We start from the raw sequence: 21,384 nt of genomic DNA, 5'->3' as shown, positions 1-21,384 counted from the left end.
ATGCCTTCTGCAATATCCCAGCTTCAAGTTTAAACAAAGGAAAAAGGAACTGGGACATTGAGGAGAACTTTATTTCCGCAACTTGCACCTAAACTTGGAATTACTCTTCCTATTTCTAAAAGGCAATGGGAGTTCCAACCTTGACTGAAATCCTGGGCCAGGGGATCAGATACGTGAGCTTCCAAACCAGACTGCCTTTGTATACACAGTTCCCCACTCGTGCACTAAAGGCACAAGTCCCTGGCATTATGATGTTAGTGAATTTCATGTCATAAAGATGCAAGCAGCAGCTTAAGCAAGTTGACGGGCTATTTCTCATCTCAGGTCAGAATTCCAAAGGGGAAGCTCTAGAGCTGTGGCTGTGGCTTTCAGTGGGGAAACCCGGCCTTGGTCCCTGGTGGTCGTGCCTGCCACTATATCCTTCAATCCAGGCCAGGTGGTTTCCTGCTTCTGCTGCTCTCTAGATTCCCCCAACTTGGCCTCTCAGATGCAATGATCACTATATACCAGCCTCCTGCATTGAATTTTATGTCCTTTTATATTTTGTGGACTTCAATGGGAAGACCCTGCTGTCCTCCAAAGACCAAATTATCACCAATATATTTGTTGCATCCTCCTTAGAGTGGAGATATGCAAACTAAGGCTGTGGACATAATGAAGCCCAAAGCCTGTCTTTGCAGACAGAGTTTTATTATAACCCAGCCATGCTCATTTGTTGAAGTCTTGTTCATGGACACTTTTCTACTACAGCAAAAAATGTTGAGCGGTTGTAACAGAGACTGTTCAGCCCACAAAGCCCAGAGTACTAACATTCTGGTACTTTGCAGGAAAAGCTTGCTGGCCCCTTGTTCCTCTGCGTGAGATGACTCGCCATCACATCCATGGTCAAGTTCTAGGATGGAGGAAGGGAGGAAGAAAGGGAGCAGCTCCATCATTTAAGCACATGCCCCAGAAGCTGCACACATTTCTTCAAGTCCAATTATGTAGAACTGAACGTAGTCAAATGGTCACACTTAGCTGCAAGGGAGACTGGCGAGTTTTGTCATTATTTTGTGTAGGGATGGACTCAGCAGCAACACTGACAATTCTCTCACTTTGTGAGCAGGTGAGAATTGCAGGTCTCAAGATGAGAGCTAAGACAATCCTCATTTTAATTCCAGCAATCCAAAGCAAGTATATTCAATGTCTTGCATGTTTGCGATGCTAAACAAATGTTTTTATTAAAAAGTGACAGTGATCCTTTTAAAAGTCAGCACCTGGCACTGTTTTCCTGAGCCCTGACATTTTATGATTGTACACAATGCCTACTATGAGTTGTTTACTGAATTTTGATTACTTTATAATCATACTGGAATCATATTTGTGGAGCTCAAGCAAATAAAATCCCCACAGCATTCCGAACGCAAGGAGAAAGCTGCTGGAAATATCTGCACTGCAGCCAGCAGTAAGGGCCATAATCTCTGACCCTGGTCTCTTCACTATACATAATGCTTTGCATCTTAGTTTGTTAGTACCAATTTTTGCATTATGAACATACCGTAGCTGGAATTTAAATTTTTTTGGAGAATGGTTGATTATAAGAAAAGAAATCAGATTATATTATATTACTACAAATACCCTAAGCATTTTGGTATACTACTTTTTTTTTGCTCATCTTGTTTTAACGTAAAACTAAGATGAAGCCACACCAGGAATACATTCCCCTTGCATATAACTTTCTCTTTATTAAAAATTGCAGTCAGTCTTTAAACATACATAAAAATTAAACACAGGTACTATTAATAAAATTGCATTGGTACAATGCACTGAGATGCATTTATAGCGTGTATTGGTATTCTCTTTGAGTCCTGGGATATCCAGATTGGTAGAATTGAAAGAGATATTACTCAAAAATAGTGTAATCCATGGCATGGGAATCAGGCACAGAATGACTTCAGAAAAGCATGGCTTTATAGTTCTTTTTGCTGATTCCATTCCCATTCCAACACAACACCAGAGTCATCCACACCCACATGACTAAATTCTCATTAGATCTACTGAAACTGTCATTTAATAGGTAAGGCAGCCTGGCATGGTGGCTCAGGCCTGTAATCCCAACATTTTAGGAGGCCAAGACAGGAGGATTACCTGAGCCCAGGAGTTCAAGACCAGCTTGGGCAACATAGCAAGAACCCATCTATACAAAAAATTTACAAATTAGTTGGTTGTGGTGGCACACACCTGTAGTTCCAGCTACTCAGGAGATTGAGGTGGGAGTATGGCTTGAGCCCAGGAGTTCAAGGTTGCAGTGAGCTAGGATTGCACCACTGTACTCTACCCTGGACAACAGAGCAAGCCCCTGTCTCTACCAAAACAAACAAACAAACAAAAACAAAAGAAAGAACCTATACCAAGAACAAGGAGGGTGATACAAGCAGCCATGGTGAGCAAATAAATTACTGGTAAACATGTAAATAAATCTAATTTTTTTATTATAAGGACAATAATTATTATAGTTACTATTTAGATAGTATTGATTGAAAACAAATTAGAATTAAAATGCTACACAATAGTGTCATGAAAGATGAGAAGAAAATAAAAATTATAGTCATACTGCTTCAATTTAAATTTTATTATATTAAAATTATTTATTGTGTTTCATTTACAAGAATGAGAATAAATACCAGTAGAAGAAAAAAGTGTGTTTGGGTGAATAGAGAAAATTTAATCAGTATAATTAAAAGCAGGAATGAAAAGCAGAGGAGAAGCATAAAAAAGCAGAATGTGTAAAATTACATGATAGAAATAAATCCAAGGAAGACAGACCCCTCTGAAATCCTCAGGTGATAAATGAAGATTGATGTAATTACCATTCCCAATGATTCATTTAGGGATGTATTTGTATTCTACTGCTGCATGACAAATTGCCGTGGACTTATCAGCTTAAAACAACAGACCTTTATTATCTTACAGCTTCTGCAGATTAGGAGTCTGTGCATAGCTTAGCTAGGTCCTCTGCTCAGGATCTCGCCAGGCTGGTATTCAAGTGTTGACCAGGGCCAGGGTTTCACCTGATACCCAGGGTTCTCTTCCAAGCTCCCTGGTTGTTGGAAGAATTCATTTCCTTGTGCTTATAGGACTGTGGTCCTCATTTTCTCATTAGTTGTTAGATAGAGACTTCTCTCAGCTCCCAGGGGCCACCACTGTTCTCTGCCTCAAGGCTCCAATAGGCAGTTCAGGACATGACTGTTGGCTTTAAAAGCTCATCTCTCTGATGCTTCATCTTAATTTAAAAGCTCCTCTGATTAGGGAAGGCCCACCCAGTATGGTCTCCCTTTCGAGTAACTCAACAGTGACTGATTTATAGTCTATGCAGAGGAGTGATACATCATCTGCCCAGGTTGCATCCACACTCAAGGCAAGCAATTGTACAGGGTATGTCCACCAGTAGTAAGAATCTCAGGGCCATCTTTATGTCCAACCTAGGCTGAGTGTGAAAAGGTAACCCAAACCTGGCAAAGGATTAGGTTTGTTAAATCTTTTGGAGACTTCTAATGTTTTTCCTCATGATGAAAAGTGAGATGCTTGTGAGAAGCAAGTTCACTTACTTTTTAGATTTTCCATTTGCTGTGGGAAGAAATGATACTTGAGCTGCAGCCAGCCTGCAGCCCTGACTAGAAAGCCCGGAGACTGTGACTGGTGGAGGCCTGACACATGCTTATGGATGGAGCTTCCTGCAGTTGGGGAATCTGTCACTCCAGCAGTGAAAATGCCAAGTTATAACAGTGAATGCCAAGTTATAAAGAAGTACACATGAGATACATTATAAAAACATACTCAGAAAAAGTGAACACCAACTTCCAGCATGTGATCACCTGTGCAGTGGGAGGAGGTAGAAAAATGTGGTGGGAGGGTGCCTTTGCAAAATTGCATATTTTTATTTCTCAAAAATATAACACAAAGATTGAAAAAATGTTAACATTTCCTAGATCTGAGTAGTGAGTTTTAACAAATCTATTGTATCATTTTGGATGCTTTTCTGTAATTTGAAGTGCTTTGTAACTTAAAATAGAGCATATTTGGTGCAGCTGAAATTGCATCATAGCTCTGCAGGGTATCCTCAGAATGACCAGCCACCTCATCCCTCCATGTTTCAGCTGCCTGAGCTTTACCATGGCCTAGGAAGCAGAGTTTTACAAGGATACTTGTGAAAAATCAGTCAAATGAGCAGTGGGAGACAGAAAACCAAAGAACCTTCACATTTCTGCAAAAAGCACTTATTCCAGCACACAATATTCTAAACCAGGTTCCTCAATGCTCCAGGAAAATCTCAAAATGTATTCTAATTTTAATGTTGACCGTATCAGATAAGTAAAGCAGATTTATGCAACAATTTTATTGAGGTGTAATTTGAATACCATAAAATACTTATTTTAAGTGTGCAATTTCATGATTTTTGTCAATTTACCATATAGCGCAACCTCCATCACTATCCGGTTTTAGAACATTCTCAAAATTCTAATAAAATCCCTTTGCCTCTTTGGAGTTTAATTTTTTCTTCATATCCAACTAAGGCAAACATTAATCTACTCTACATCCCTATATTTTTGTCCTACAGGTGCATTTCATGTAAAGTGCATCATACAGGACTGGACTTTTGCCTCTGGTTGTCTGCACTTGGCATATTTTTGAGGTTCACCTGCATTGCAGCATGCATCATACTCCATTCCTTTTAACTGCTGAATAACATTCCATTGTATGGATGGATATGCCATATTTTGTTTATCCATTCACCAGTTGATGAACATTTGAGTTATTTCCACTTTTGGGTTACTATGAATAATCTTGCTATAAACATTCACATGCAAATTTTTGTGTGGACATGTGGTGTTGTTTTCTCCTGCTTTGGAAGATACTTAAGACTAGACTTGCTGGGTCATTTGGTAAATTTCAAAACACAAGTACTCTTACGTTTTCTATCTCCCATAACCAGTCCAAGATTGGGAGGTATATTAGCTTACCAAGAATTAGGTTTCCATCAACTAAAAACATGAACACAAGCTACTCTGCAGCTAATACAGTTTTCAGAAGCACTGCCTTAAAGACTTTGGGAAATGTATCACATGGAATGAATTTAAAATTTGGGGATTAATTTAAAATTCGATTTTTATAATAGGCATAAATTTGTTTATTTTCTAGTATGTAATTTAGTTATTCATTTAACATAAAATCATAAAAATTTTCAACACTTCTATATATTCTTTTAAGTTGCTGCTTAAAATCCCAATGAGTAGACATGGCATTTACTTAATTACTCCAGTATAGATGAATATTCAATTTATTTCTTTTAAAAATTATGAAAAATATCTTTCAATATCATTTCTGTGCACACAGAAATGCCAGCTTTGTCATGTTTTTGGATAATTTCTTTAGGACAAAAAAAAATCCAAATATAGTTCCTGAGTTACAGTGTGCACTTAGTGGCTTTTGACCTATGCTGCCAAATTGCTTTCCAAAACGTCTATCCCAGTGCCAGTTTATACTGCCACTGGCACTGTATGAATGTCCATTTCATTGTATAATTGCCAGCATTGGGTATTACCTTTTCTAAGCATAGAATTTTCTCAGTATTCATTTTTCTAAATCACAACAAATAGATGTAAGAAAAAAAAAAAATCAGGGGTCCCATGCCTTGTTTTCCTAAAATCTGTTTGGAGCCCACAGCCACTCTCTGGTTTTTTTGCTACAAACAAGGGCTCATTTTCTTAGAAAAGTTCAGACTCTTTCTTAAATATATCTTTTTCTTTTCTCCTCCTTTGCTCCATTTATTCTCCCCCTCCCCAGCTTGCATTCTTTATAGACCACGATCTCACACTAAAATAAATAAATAAATAAATAAAATGTGTATTATCTTCCCTAACAGACAGATCTTTCCAAAAAATATTGGTTGGAATAAGATTTTCTTTTTTATCTGGATAGTATATTTTATTTTACATACATAATATATACATATATATGTACATTTATTTATAATTTATTTACTCATAGAAGGCATGGAAATAGTGTTTAATGTACCAGCAGTTTGAAGGACCAGGTGTCTATTTCTTGATAACTGATTCAAGCACCTGCCAGAAGCTTCTGGGCTACCAATTCCATAATATATCTCGCTTAAAAAATGTTGTTCTCTCTCTGTTCAGCGAGAACATTATCAAAAATGTAGCACAGTCCGTTTTCCCCTCAGGATGCCAAACTGCTGGTGCCTATCCTTAAAGGTCACACAGCAACTCCTGGTGGCATATCTCAGTGGCTACTGTCACAGGACAGTGTCCAGCCCCACACTACCTCGCAGACCCAGCAGCTGGGTTCAGCAGCACTTCCAAGGATCTTCTCACAGCTCCTGTCTGTGGACCCCTCCTGCATGAGCTCTTGGCAAGGGTGGGAACAGACTCTACAGTTACCAGAATGTGCATTGCTGGACACACCCATAGGTTATAGTGTACCCCCTCAGCAGGTGTAGCTCTTGAAGCTCCTATTCTCCCACAGGCACTCCTGGAGCAGAAAATGTTCCCCAATTTCCCCTTAGATTGAGGTAAAAGCTTGTTCTCAGTGATGGTCATCCTTCCCTTCTGGTAACACCTGAATATAGATAGCTGATGACCATCATAGCCTGGACACTTCTGTCTGCACAGGAGGACATAAATGTTCGGCACAGGACATATTCAGCAACTCTTGATACCCAAGACTTTGTGAGATAAAGAGGAAAACTAACTGCAATCATGGTCATTAGCCAGATTTTTAAGTAGTGGCAAAATCTGACAGCAAAATTAGAGAGCAGTTCATGACAGTAGGATTTTAGGACATATTAGAACAAGGAAAAGAAAGGAAGGACGTGAATTAGAAAACATATTTGTGAACTACCCACTAAGTTATAGGCAGTGTTTTTGAAATGTCATTATGGATTTTATATTTCTTTCATCCTACATGGCAATCCTCCTTTTCCAAGATGAGGAAAATAAGGTACAGGAAAGTTAAGTAGCTCACCAAAATTAGCTTAGCTCATAAGTGACAGATCAGAATTTAAATTGTGTTGGTCAGAGGAGTGAAGCCTTTGCTGGGGAGAGGTAGGGAGGAGTGCAAAGGCTGAAATATATGTGATCTGAGAGGTGGTAGAGTTTTGAAAGAAAGGCCTCGCTGCTCCCACCTATGCCAAGCAGAGCCATGACACTAGGATGTGACACGTATTGTGATGCACAGTTCTAATTATCACCCCTGCCCCAGTTCCGAGGGGCAAAGGCAGCCAGAATGAGGTCTAACTGGGGCAATCCATAAGAGAAGACAACCCGTGCCTGTCTCAGCCCGTCTGCCCAGCACATATGCTGGCTGGTTGATTAGTTCCCACTAGGCAGGGGCAAACCTGCACACCAAAGTGCAAGGGGTAATGGAACTTGAAGTCAAGGCTGGTGTGTTTCAGTTAATTAGAACCAAGAACACAGAGTCTACCCAAATGGTTGTGATGTTATCAAGATCCACAGCCACATGGCAGACAGCCAAACATCAATCAAATAAGAAGCTTCATACAAGAGAGCTAAAAGAGATAAAAGGTAAATGCCAAATAACCCTTTCATCTAGCTTAAGTGTTCAACATGTTTCAATCACACACAAAAAGCCTTTTGGACATTACAGTCATTCTGTGTATTCACAATTAACTCAGGTGCAAGCCTGTGAAACAGCATAGGTACTCTTGTTTTCCCAATGTTTAAAAAAATGTATTATGTTCCTACTAGTGGGACTCAAAAAACCAAGTAAATAGTTTACGAATACCTACCCTGTTGCCTCACCAAATTTGAATGATTCTTTCTTTCTTATCTGGATACCTAGAATCTATTTATTTTAATGTAATGTAGACACAATCCTGGGATTGTTCAAACTCGGTCTCCATCACTTTCTGTTTGTGAAGACTTGGGAAAGTCAGTGTTATGTCACTGAATGGGGACTTTTGATTTATAATTCAGTAATAGCAGTGACCATCTCACAGATGCCAGGGGTCTGGAAACTATGAATGTAAAGAAGCTGGAACTTAGCAACACTGAATAGGTAATCATGAGCACATCATAACTGAACAGGTGCTGGGATGGCAGAGGCACTGGTGGGGTCAGAGTATTACAAAATCCTTTTACAAATGAAGCAACCAAGGTGCAGAGAGAAGATGCCCCAGAGCTAACTGGTGAGACCTACACGAAAACAGAGCACCAGCCTCCAGCTTAGCCCAAGTCTGATGCCACCATATCCTAAGCTTCCTTCCAGAGCAGAACATGAATATCAATGGCTGTAGCCCAGCAAGCAATCCATGCTGTGATTTTTTAGCTCTTTTTTATTTAGTCATTCATTATAAAATTAGAACATAATAGAAAACAAAGATTTTCCCATGTATAACATTGAGCAAATCCTTTGCACTGAATTTTCTCACTTGTAAAAACTGAAGTTTTTAAAAAATGTATTAGTCCATTCTCACACTGCTAATAAAGGCACCCCCAAGACTGAGTAATTTATAAAGGAAAGAGGTTTAATTGATTCACAGTTCTGCAGGGCTAGAGGGCCTCAGGAAATTTATAATCATGGCAGAAGGGGAAACAAAAATGTCCTTCTTCATTGCTGCAGCAAGGAGAAGTGCAGAGCAAAGGTAGGGGGGAAAGCCCCTTATAATACCATCAGATCTTGTAAGAACTCACTATCACAAGAACATCATGGAGGTAACTGCATCCATGATTCAATTACTGCCCACCAGGTCCCTCCCACGACACATGGGGATTATTGGAACTATGGTTCAAGATGAGATTTGGGTGGGGACACACCCAACCCATATCATAAAGTGATGAAAATCTTCTAAAATTGACAGTGTGATTGTTGTACATATCTGTGGATATACAGAAAACCACTGAATTGTACATAGTGGATGAATTGTATGGTATGTGAATTATATGTCACCAAAGCTGTTAAATATAATTAAAGTGTTTAAAGAGATAAACCTCAAAACTCACTCTATCCGCAAGAGAAAGACAAGGAGCATACTACAGTATGAGCTTTAAATTTAAAAGACTAAATTCTTAGCTCTGATGGACCTCATTCTAACTGTCACTGGGCAAATTATCTCATCCCAATAAGCCTCAGTTTCTGCATCATTAAAATAGGCTGGTGTAAATAACACCAGGTGATATGACTTGGCTGTGTCCCCACCCAAACCTCATCTTGAATTGTAGCTCCCATAATCCCCACGTCATGGGAGGGACCAAAAGGAGGTAATTGAATCATGGGGGCAGGTTTTTCCCATGCTGTTCTTGTGGTAGTAAGTAAGTCTCATGAGATCTGATCATTTTATAAAGGGCAGTGCCCCTACACATGCTCTCTTGCCTGCCACCATGTAAGATGTGCCTTTGCTCCTTCTTTACCTTCTGCCATGATTGTGAGGCCTCCCAAGCCATGTGAAACTGAGTCCATTAAACCTCTTTTTTTCTTTATAAATTACCCAGTCTCAGGTATTTCTTCATAGCAGTATGAAAATGGACTAATACAACAAATTGGTATTGGTAGAGTGGGGTACTGCTATTAAAATACCCGAAACTGTGGAAGTCACTTTGCAACTGAATAACAGGCAGAGATTGGAACAGTTTGGAGAGCTCAGAAGAAGACAGGAAGATATGGGAGAGCTTGGAGCTTCCTAGAGATGAGTTGAATGGTTTTGACCAAAATGCCGATAATGATATGGACAGTGAAGTCCAGGCCAAAGTGGTCTGAGATGGAGATGAGGAACTTATTGGGAATGGGAGCAAAGGTCATTCTTGCTATGTCTTAGCAAAGAGCCTGGCAGCATTTTCCCCTGCACTAGAGATCTGTGGAACTTTGAACATGAGAGATGATTTAGGATATCTGGTGGAAGAAATTTCTAAGCAGCAAAGCATTCAAGAGGTGACTGGGTGCTTTTAAAAGCATTCGGTTTTATTCATTCACAAATATATGGTTTGGAATTGGAACTTATGTTTAAAAGGAAAGCAAAGCATAAAAGTTTGGAAAATTTGCAGCCTGACGATGCGATAGAAAAAAAAACCCATTTTCTGCAGAGAAAGTTAAGACAGCTGCAGAAATTTGCATAAGTAACAAGGAGTCAAATGTTAATCTCCAAGATAAGGGGAAAATGTCTCCATGAAATTTCAGAGATCTTCACAGCAGGCCTTCCCATCACAAGCCATGAGGCCTAGGAGGAAAAAATGGTTTTGTGGTTTGGCCCAGGACCTTGCTGCTTTGTGCAGTCTCAGGACTTGGTGCCCTGCATCCCAGTGGTGGCTAAAAGGGGCCAATGTACAGCTTGGGCCATTGCTTCAGAGTGTGTCAGTCCCATGCCTTGGCAGCTTACACGTGGTATTGGGCCTGTGTATGCACAGAAGTCAAGAATTGAGATTTGGGAACCTCCCACTAGATTTCAGAGAATGTGTAGAAGTGTCTATGTGTCTAGGCAGAGCAGGCAGAGCCCTCATGGAGAAACCTCTAGGGAAGTGTGGAAGGGATATGTGGGGTGGGATTCCCCACACAGAGTCCCCACTGGGGTACTGCCTAGTGGAGCTGTGAGAAAAGGGCCTCTGTCCTCCAGACCCCAGAATGGTAGATCCACCAACAGCTTACACTGTGTGCCTGGAAAAGCCTCAGACACTCAACACCAGCCTGTGAAATCAGCCAGGCCGAGGGGCTGCACCCTGCAAAGCCACAGGGGCAGAGCTGCTCAAGACCATGGGAACCCACCTCTTGCATCAGCATGACCTAGATGTGAGACATGGAGTCAGACGAGATCATTTTGGAGCTTTAAGATTTGACTGCCCTCCTGGATTTCAGACTTGCATGGAGCCTGTAGTCCCTTTGTTTTGCCCAATTTCTCTCATTTGGAATGGCTGTATTTACCCAATGCCTGTACCCCCATTGTATCTAGGAACTAACTAACTTGCTTTTGTTTTCTACAGGCTCATAGGCAGAAGAACTTGCCTTGTCTCAGATGAGACCTTGGACTGTGGACTTTTGAGTTAGTGCTGAAATCAGTTAAGACTTTGGGGGACTGTTGGAAAGACATAATTGGTTTAAAATGTGAAGACATGAGATGTGGGAGGAGCTGGGCTGGAATGATATGGTTTGGCTGTGACCCCACCCAAATCTCACCTTGAATTGTAGCTCCCATAATTCACACACGTGGGTGGGGCTCAGTGGGAGGTAATTGAATCATGGGGGCAGGTTTTTCCTGTGCTGTTCTTGCAATAGAGAGTAAGTCTCATGAGATATGATGGTTTTATAAAGGGCAGTTCCCCTCCACATGCTCTCTTCCCTGCCATCATGTAAGATGTGACTTTGCTCCTCTTCTACCTTCCACCATGGTTGTGAGGCCTCCCCAGCCATGTGAAACTGTGAGTCCACTAAACCTCTTTTTTTCTTTATAAATTACCCAGTCTCGGGTATTTCTTCATAGCAGTATGAAAATGGATTAATACACCAGGGCATAGGAACTCAGTGAGTATATGTGAAAATGCCTGGTGCTCAAGAAATGCCCAGGTTTTTCAATTCTTATTAAAATTCTAAACTATTAGGCAGCTGGATTCATTGCTATTTAAAAATCAAGCATACTTCCTATCAACAGGACTCTTGCTAAGAATAGTACACTCACAAGCAATAGTGTTAAACACAGAACTGTACATATTTTCTTAAGACTTGGGAAGGTGACTTGGTTGTGTATGCAGCTATGTTTATTCAAAAGAGATTTAGATGTGCATCTTCCAACAAGTAATTAAAATAATACAAAAGAGCACTTCTCAGATCTTACCAGTCTGAATAAAAATGGAAATGGCAAGGACACAAGCTGAACTGTATTTGTGTCTATATCAACATGGCCCTCCTGTGGCCTTAGGTGGAAGGAGAACTTGCTCCAATCCCAGACAGAATTGCTTTAAAACACACTGTTCACTTCCTATCTCTTCACTGAGGGGCAAGTTGCTTAATCACACTGAGGCTCACAATGTTGGTTTGTAAAATGCTTATAGAATTACAGTACAAAATAAAAGAAGCATTATACAAATATTGCCTAGTTCTGTATTATGTGTCTGTCAATATTTGTTTCTACTCTTTTAATAAAAATGCAAAAGTTGGTCAATAGATGTGGGATATAAAAATTCACAGGCCTGCATGGCATCATATAGACAAAATTATCTTGTGTTTAATTGATTTTACTTTTCATCCAGGTGTGTGCATGCTGATTTTATGTTCTTTGCCTAAAACTCATCATAAGGATAGTGAGAAATTAAAAATGATTGTTCTTGCAAAGTCTGTTGAGACAGCAAGGAACTAGCTAAGACTAGCCCCTACTAGGTATTCAGTCTTGCTGAAAGTCTACCATGTCAAGCATGTACTAAATTCAGAAAAGAACTGCAATTGCCATTCCAGTCATCTCTGCCCTTTGGCTTTACTTTTCTTAAATTTTCAGGGGAAGAAAACATAAAAACTCCCCAAACCCTCAAATCTTTGTATCTTTTACTGAGGGTGCTAAACTGTCCCTTTTTTTCTGTGTAGATACGAAAAAGATACGGTCTTCCCTCTGGTGATATTTGCTCTGTGGGAAAGAAGCTGAAATAACATTCTGGATACAGATAGACTACAAATGACTTGAGCCCTTTGAAAATCACTCTCTCGGTATTGATTCACTTGGGGAATGAAAGCCTATTGGACTGACTGAAGCCAGCCCTGGGCAGACACATACCCAGGGCTGCAGAATTCCATGGGAGAGGCAGGAGTGCTCTGAGCAATTCGAGCTGCCAAGGGCACTTAGCAACATGCCCACCAGCCAGGCTTGCTTCAACTTCATGCCTGCCTTAGAAAGGCTCAGTTTATTCTGAACACTCTCTCTCCCGTTTTCAGGTGACAAGTTTGGAAAAAAGAATGGAGTCATTATTAAATAAACTAGCTGTGATCAGTCATGATATAACAACACTTTGCTCTTTAATTTTCAAAGCTCTTGATAAAACATTATTGTATTTTAATCCTCCTACAAACCTGGGACTAATTCTTTTTATTGAGCTAAGTCTTTTCTCCACAGAAGGAGAAACAGACTTTGAGACCCTCAAAGAGTGGTCAACAAGGCAACTTAGGTGGGGCCAGGTTTGGCTGCCTAATCTGTGACACCTGATTAGTATTATTGCACCTCATCAACAGCTTCCAAGGTTCCTGGCAATGCTAGAAACACATCATCCATCAATGTAGGAATAGTTAATACATTATATTAGAAATATAATAGAAAACCATGCAGCCATTTGAAAGAATGAGCTAGAATGTAGCACTGACACGGGAACAAGTCAGTCTATGCTGTGTTGTGAAAAAAAAAAATCAAGCAATAAAACAAAGGGACAGCATGATTCAACTTCAGTTTTGGAAAATATTTCTGTGTTTTAAATGTTTTTGCAAGAAGATCTTCAAAGTTTCTCACAAAAAGCCAAAGTGAATCTGGGATTCTGCCTGCAGTAGAAAGCATGACTGGTTTGGGGAGGCTGAGGTAAAGGAATAGCAGTTTCAACTTTTTTGAGTGATAGAATAATAGCACGAAGTCCCTCTCGCCCCTGGCCTCCAATGTAACCAGCCAGCATGATCTGAGTTAGGATGCTTTGCAGGCCCTCCCAGTGTGCTCATTGAGTCATGATCATAATTTTAAATAAATAAACCTACTTTTGTTGAGCCTGACAGGGTGCTGGGAGCTCTAACTCATTCCCTCTTTTGTTCTTTGCCACTACTCTGCAAGAGAGGCATTAACATGAAAAATAGTAGCTCCTCTGCATAAATGCTGGCTAGCAGGACAAAAGGGGAAGACCCGCACATTTACAGGTTCTTCTAAAGGCAGGAGCTGATATTGAGTGTGCACTGTTAGACCGTGTCCCTACACTACAAAGTAGGGATCATCATCTTATTTTACATGAAGGAAACTGGGGCTCAGTAAAGAAGTACCCAGAGCCATCCCTCCAGCTAAGTGCAGAATCAAACCCCATATCTGACACTGTAGTCAAGAGAGACAGTCAAAAGGGAATGAGTCCTTGGTTGTAGCTCCAGCTGAACTTAGCTACATGGAATATTCAGCACCTGTGTGCATGCATGTGTGATTGTGTGTGAGTGCATGTATGTGCAGTGTGTGTGCCTGCACACCCATATGCATATTACCCACTCTCAGTAGGACAGGGAAACAATACTTGTTGTCTCATGCTAGTGCCACAAGCTAAACCTTTTCATCGCACCTAATCACACCAAAAAAGTCCTGTCTGCCCTCCTTCCAGCCCTCAACCTGCCCCACATCACTTCATACGACTTTACTGGGGATACTCAGGAAGCTGCTTGAGCCCCAAGAGACCTCCTGGGGAGAGTTTCTGGTACCTGGACAGAGCTCCCTTCCCATTTTTCTCTCCAGGATTCTTCTGGAATGTCCACTTTTTCCTGTTGCAGAATTGGGGGCATATGCAGAAATCAGGTGAAGGAGGAAAAGGGTTATGAAACTGATAAAGACTCCTTCCCATCTTTTTTCTGACATGTGCTCTGGGAAGAGGGAAACCTTCCAGCCTGGCGAAGACGTTGTTATTGAGCTCACTTCCCTACCCACAGAAGCTGCCCCCTTCTAAGGGGCTGTTCATGGGCTCAAATGAGGGCTGGCCTGGGGATATTTCATTATGAGACACAGAAGCACAGGATTTGAGCTAAATCCATTAAAAAGGAAAATGGGACTTCGATGTGTGTAGGTGAGTGCTGGGGTGGCTGACACACGTCACTGACGTCTTCAAGGTTGAAGTTTCATCTGGAAAACGCCCTTGGTACTCTCCCCAGGGTTCTGTATGCACCCAACTCTAATTTAAACTGCAACATGATACAACAGATGGAAACAGAGAAAGTTGAAATAAGCCTTTTGGAACTTGTAGCTGCACAAAGCCATTGTACATGAAAAGTACAGAGAAAACAACTGGAATCATTTCAGGCTTTGAAAACTTATAATTACAGGTGAGTGGCTATTATGTTATTGGAACAGCCATTATAACGGAAAGGTACAATTTCAGATAATATATGTGAGGACATTAATATACCATCAGATTTTTACAGCACAAGTATCACAATGCATCCAATTTCAAATTAAAGGTTACCTTCCTGGGTCTTTTTTTCCCTGGATTCTCTACCTCTATTTTTAAGTAGAGCATTCATGTGAAATAATGGCATCATTTCTCAAAAAAAAAAAACACAATAATTTTTGGTTGCGCACTTTTTACTATTATTAAAAAGCTTCCAGGTCTTTAACACTGTAGGAAAATAACAAAAATCAAAATCACCCATCAGTACATTCTCTACATGACTGTCACCTCTGAGTTACTTATGCTAATTGAATAGAACTATGACATGGAAAATCAAGATGGAAGCAAATCTAGAAATTACCTTTATTTACACCTAGAATTTAAATTTAAATGTGCATGCATTTGACCTTGGAGGTCTCCAGACACTGGATTAAGAAACTCAGCAAGGACTGCAGAAAACCGAGAGACATGAGCCATAGAAAGTACCATTCAAATTCTGTCCGGAACTCTATCACCTTGCTGTTGGGTGACATTTCCAGCATCCCTGACCCTCTGCACCCTTATGAGTCCTGTGTAGTATGTGATCCAGAGGATGATTGTGATGGAAAGAAAGGTACCCACAGACAGAGATGAAGGACCAGGAAGAGGCACAAAGACACATGCATGGAGTCCTTTCCACAGAAGGGGCAGTTTCCTTTGACCTCTGAGCTGTCTGCTGTTCAGACTATAAAGGAGTAAAGTTCTCAGTGTAAGAGCCCATGGGAAAACTCTTTTGGCCATCCCCACAGGGATTTTTGTGCCTTCCTCGTCCTTCTCAGCCACCCTAGGATCTCTAGCTGAGTGGTTACCTGTCCATTTGTGGGAGTAACTGAAAACAAATAGTAGCAACACAACACTCGCCTAAATCCTTATTTTGAGTCTGAGTGAACTGTAGGTCCATTATCTAGGTGTTCATCCTCTTGGCAGGCTCACTTCCCAGGTTGTTGTATGGAAATCCAGCTCAGTTCAATGCCGCACCTGGTATAAATTCCTGATACAAGTTAGTTTCACCATCTAAGAGGATTGCACGTTTCCATCCTCCAACTTCCCTGTTCAAAATTCCAAACAACATAACATGAGTTTCCATGATCATGCAAACACCAGCCTGAGTTAAGCTATCTTCTCCTTTTGCATTTATTTTCCATGTTTTCTTGGTTCTTGAAAGGATTTAATGATTTGCTACAGGGCAGCCTTCTCAGAGAGACTGATGGGCTGTAGGTTATTGGAAAGAGTGACATAGGACTGTGGCAACAACAGATTTTATTACATAAGCCACACTGATAGGAATCTGACCTAAATAAAAGAGAAAAGGGGGTTGAGAATATGGCCTTTTGTGATTTTAAGATGCAAGTTTATTGCAATGCATTATGTTTTCTGTATGAAATTAAATACGAAAAGGCCCAATTTATGATAATCTAAATGTTCTTTCTGTGAAAATTGACTTATGTCCAGATATACAAAATAATTCTGAAAACAGTATTAAAATTGCATTGTGGATAGTTTGTTGGAACTCTATGAAGGGGCTGCACAGTGACGAGCATATTCCCATGAGTAAGAACACCTTAGATATATGGATGCTCCTCAACTTCTGAATGGGTTACATCCCATAAACCCACCATAAGAAGAAAATGAAGTGTGTTAAAGATGCATTCAATACTTCAATGAAGCCATTGTAGAGTCAAATAATAGTAAGCTGAACCAATTGTGGTACATATGCTCCCTGACTTACGATGGCGTTACCTTCCAATAAACTCTTAGTAAAGTTGAAAAATTGTAAGTCCAGCCATGGTAAGTCAGGGACAATTTGTACCAATAAATAAAGATCAAAGTCAGAAAAAATAGCAGCCTATAAAAAAGCAACTTAGAAAATCTCTATGAAAACCTTGCTGTAGATACTGGCTACGGAGAACATGACACAGATTGGGGCCACATATCAGCAGGCATGTTTGCTAGTTGATGTCAGGATAATTTTGGTGAATATGTCAATCACATTTTTATTGCAAAATAATCACATATAATGTAGAAAATATAGATGCAAAACAAAAATGTTACATGTCACCTACAATATGACACAGATGTTAATTTTCAATACTAAATGACAGCATGGAAAAGAAAAAACATTTTGAACAAAATATTTGACATGTGTGTACATAGTAGGCAACATGTCCAAGGAGAAACTAGTTCTGTACTTGTGCCAATTGTACAGGTTCTGATAAGAAAGCCCAGGCACTCAGTGATTCATTCCTGCATCTTATGCACTTTCTCTGTGTCAGACGCCCTGGGACAGAGAAATAGAAAGTAATCAACAGGACCCTGAGCTCCGGGCTGGAGTCAGCAATGCCTCTCCTTTCTCTGCCACCACCTTCTCCCACTCACTCTCACCCCCAGGAGGGAGCAGCTGACAGAATTCCTTAACTAGTGTGAACACTTCAAGGATGTTTATTAAACTAACCCTAAAAATTTTAAACAGTTGATAGATTATAAAGACATAAGTACAAAGTTTAACAGTACTGTAGAACCAAGAAACTTATTCTTGTCCAGACATATATATTCAACTTGAGAGAAGTTTGTTCTCAAAACCTTTAAAAAGGAGAGTCTGTTTCCTAGCCATCGCCATATAAAAATAATCTGTAGAAGTGGCAAAGATTGTTCACGAGGTCCCACGGTGTCAATTCACATACTCTTTAAACAAGGACTTACATTCACACATGGTATCTATTTTCAGAACACATTTAATAGGCAATATGACAAAGGTACAGAAATACTTTCAAAGCGTGTACACTCATAATGTACAAATGACTGTGGTGTAAATTAGCTGAATTATTCATTGAGTTGCAGTGCCAGGCAAAATTATCGGGACAAGTTTAGTTCATTTTTCAAAACCAAAAATTGTCAGTTCCTTATGATGCCTGAGGACACACTACATCCATGTCTATATAATGCTAAAGCATTTGTGGGAAAAATAAACTATTCAGCCAGTCATCTCCCATGTTTCTCTATTGAGGTCAAAGTTAGCTGGATGAAGACTTTGAACAAAAACATCCAGTTGATTGACTACGGTGTTAAGGTGAAACCTGGAAAATAAAATGAGTTTTTCATAGTTTTGCAGGATATAAGTCAAATTTCTTGATTTTATACATGAGAAAAGAGGCCAAGAGAAACTGGACAACTTACCTAAGCAAAGAGCGTTTCTGATGACTAGAAGGGCCAAGCAATACCACGAAAGTTGTAAGGTAAGAGCAGCTTCCTTACCTGGACAGATCACCACCCTCTCTTTGCTTCAGGTCTTCTTGATAAAGGGAAAACCTGTGGTTTGGGATAAGAAGTTTAATCAAAGTGAAAACTAGGTCCTCTTTCAAAAAATATCCCAGTAAACTCTTTGCAATTAGTGTTGTTCATGTTGCAATGGAAGCAACATCTGGCAGGGTGGCAGCTCAAGGAAGAGGGGCTCAACCTCATCCTGAGTTTTTGGGTGTGAAGCATGTGAAGGCTTCGTACACAGCCAGCCCTAACACTCTTCCCTTTCTAATTCGCATCCTGGGATTAGTGGTCCACAGGACCCTGTAAGGGTGTTTGTGAGAAGTCTGAACTGAACCGGAGTGTGGTCAGTGGTCTTTGAAGATGGGCTCCAACAACTGCTCCCTCCTCTGTGTGTGAATGCTCCTCCTTTGTCAAGGAATTATGTTTATTTTCCATTCGTTTACATAGGGGTTGAACTTGTGAGTTGTTGGACAGGTGCAGGTTTTAGGTCTAGCCCTTAACAGGACTGAAAGCATTTGCTTTTACTCTCTTGGGCCCCTGTCACTACTGTCTAAGGAAGCAAGTAGAAACTGTTAAGAGTGAGCTCTTACACAACACCAATGGCTAGGCATGTGAGAGAGGCTGTTCTGAAAGTGCCAGACCCAACCAGGCCTTCAGCTGAAGGTGGACGCAAGAGCAATCCCAGCTGACACCAAGTGGAGCAGAAGATCTGCTCAGCTCAGCTCAGCAAACCCACAAAATCCTGAGAAATAACAAGCTGCTGTTGCTTTACTTGCTAAGCTTCACATTTATGTAGAGTAGATAGCAAGAAGTATCCAGGCCGCAGGACATAACACACATGTAATGTTGTGAGTTATCACAAGAGCCAAGTTTTACTAGGGCTTCTTATTCAGAGTTTCCATGTCACATGAAAATCAGAAGCAGGGATTGACCCTAACTAAGCTGCAAACCTACTGAAAGGAGGGAAAGGAAAGGACATCATGGAAGCTAGGATGCTCCCTCATGTAACAGAAATAGAGATAAGACTCATGGCAGGGGATGGTATAAGGAGAACAAAAGAGGAAAGACCAATTAAACAATGACAGGCACATCTGGATTCTGTCTTTTTGATACTACAGATAATTCCAAATCAATGAAAACTTCCAGCTGGCTCCCTGCTTCTCACCATATTTTACCAGAAAGTAGCTAGCATGAATATCAAAATCGGTCATGTATACCTTTTGGAATCTGAGCCCCAAGGAGGGAGAGAAAGATTGGCAGCACATGCATCATCAACACTAACTCATGAAAAATATAGTCTTGTCCATACCCATACCACCCTGAACATGCCCAGTCTCTTCCCATAAGTATAATCTTGTGGCACTCCTCCATCTTGCTTTCCTTGACCCGTTTTGAAGAGCAGTTGGGTTTGTCCTGTGAGACAATGAAGTAAGATTGTCCTGCACATATGTGTGCTTTCTTATGTTAAGTAGTATTTGTCCACAGCATACAATATATGCCATGGCTCCAATGATGCTCCCTTGCTCGTGGTGTCCTTTTGCAGCTGACTGATTATATAGCTGACCAAATTTTACGATGGTTAATTATGCAAGTTTCAGACAGCTAAGAATGATATTGAAACGTGATCTATGCCAAGCTTAATGTTCCATTTCATAGCAATTTAAATGGAACAAAAATGATATGCTCATAGTCCCAATAATCTTGAACTCTCTGCTATCCTACAATGTGACAGAAATTTCTAATCAGTAAGCAATGAGCAGATGAATTCATCAAATTAAACCCCAGAAACTCGCAGAACTAAGCCCTCCTTCCTTGAACACAATGAGCAATGGAAACACCATTTGTCCTTCATCAAGGGGGCAGGAAAACCAGAAGACACACGTGCATGTCCACAGAAGCTTTGAGTAGAGAAGATAACAGGATGGAGATTCAGCCTTTGATTCTTTCCACTTTTATGCAGTGATTTAGTGTCTGCCTTGTGTTATAAGGGCTGTGGGGAGCTGTGGACAGAGAAGAAACAATGAGAATTCTATTGATTGAGTACTGTCTCTACCTTGGAAGTTTTCACCAATTGAGGGTGGCCATTTAGGGAGCTAACCATGAAATGGCTGCCAAATTCTGTAATTCAGTTCAGAAAATGAATCTTTTCTAATTATGTAGCCAATTTAGTATTGGCACTGAGAATTTTTTTAGGTCTAAAAGGTATGGACATTTCAAACATTTACAATCCAGTGTGATACACACATAAGGTAGGTGACACAGAGTGCGAAAGGAGCTGAGGAAGGGAATCCAAAGAAGCCTGTAGAGGTCTACACATTCTCCCTCTTTTGTTCTGAGTCTTGAAAGAAGCATTGGAAGTTCTGAGTAGAGAATGAAGTAAGGATACTGTGGGTAGAGACAATAACGGATGAAAAGGCATGTTGCGTGCAGGCCGGCAACTGATTCCATGTGACTATCACATAAAATGAGCTTGGGTTTAGTGAGATATGAGTCTCAGAAAACCTTGTTATGAAGCTGACTACAAAAGGACTTGAATACTATAATATACAGTTTAGAAAGTATGGAAAAAAGCAATAAAGGGATAAATCAATGAAATCTAACAGACATATGTAGAACATTCCACTCAACAACAACAGAAAGTACATTCAATTGCATGTGGATCATTCTCCAGGATAGACCATATGTTAGGCCACAGGTTAAGTATCAATGTATTTTTAAAAATAGATATCATGCAAAGTATCTTCTCCAATGACAACAGGATAAAGTTAGAAATCAATAACAGAAGAAAACCAGAAAATTTATAAATTTGTGGAAATTAAAAGTACACTTTCAAAAAGCCAGTGGATCAAAGAAAAATCAAAATGGAAATAAAATATCTTGAGACAAGACAATAATAGTGAAAAACACAACCTACTAAAACTGTGAGATGCAATGAAAGGAAAGGGAAGGGGGAGATTTACAGTTATAAACCATTACATTAAAAAAG

At 40.2% G+C, this 21,384-nt stretch overlaps 1 long non-coding RNA gene across 1 annotated transcript; it reads right to left on the bottom strand.

The window, feature by feature from the left end:
• Window positions 1–17,851: 17,851 nt before the first annotated feature.
• On the bottom strand, window positions 17,852–21,159 carry LOC124901634 (uncharacterized). The gene is made up of 2 exons (XR_007060325.1): window positions 18,312–21,159; window positions 17,852–18,211 (listed from the first exon to the last, which is right to left on the bottom strand). It is a non-coding gene; the product is annotated as an uncharacterized LOC124901634 (long non-coding RNA).
• Window positions 21,160–21,384: the final 225 nt, after the last annotated feature.

The sequence above is a fragment of the Homo sapiens genome, chromosome 7, assembly GCF_000001405.40.
Source record: "Homo sapiens chromosome 7, GRCh38.p14 Primary Assembly".
In the NCBI taxonomy this organism is placed as follows: domain Eukaryota; kingdom Metazoa; phylum Chordata; class Mammalia; order Primates; family Hominidae; genus Homo; species Homo sapiens.
Note: the sequence above shows the minus strand (reverse complement) of the source record. Positions and strands in the feature narration are given on the sequence as shown.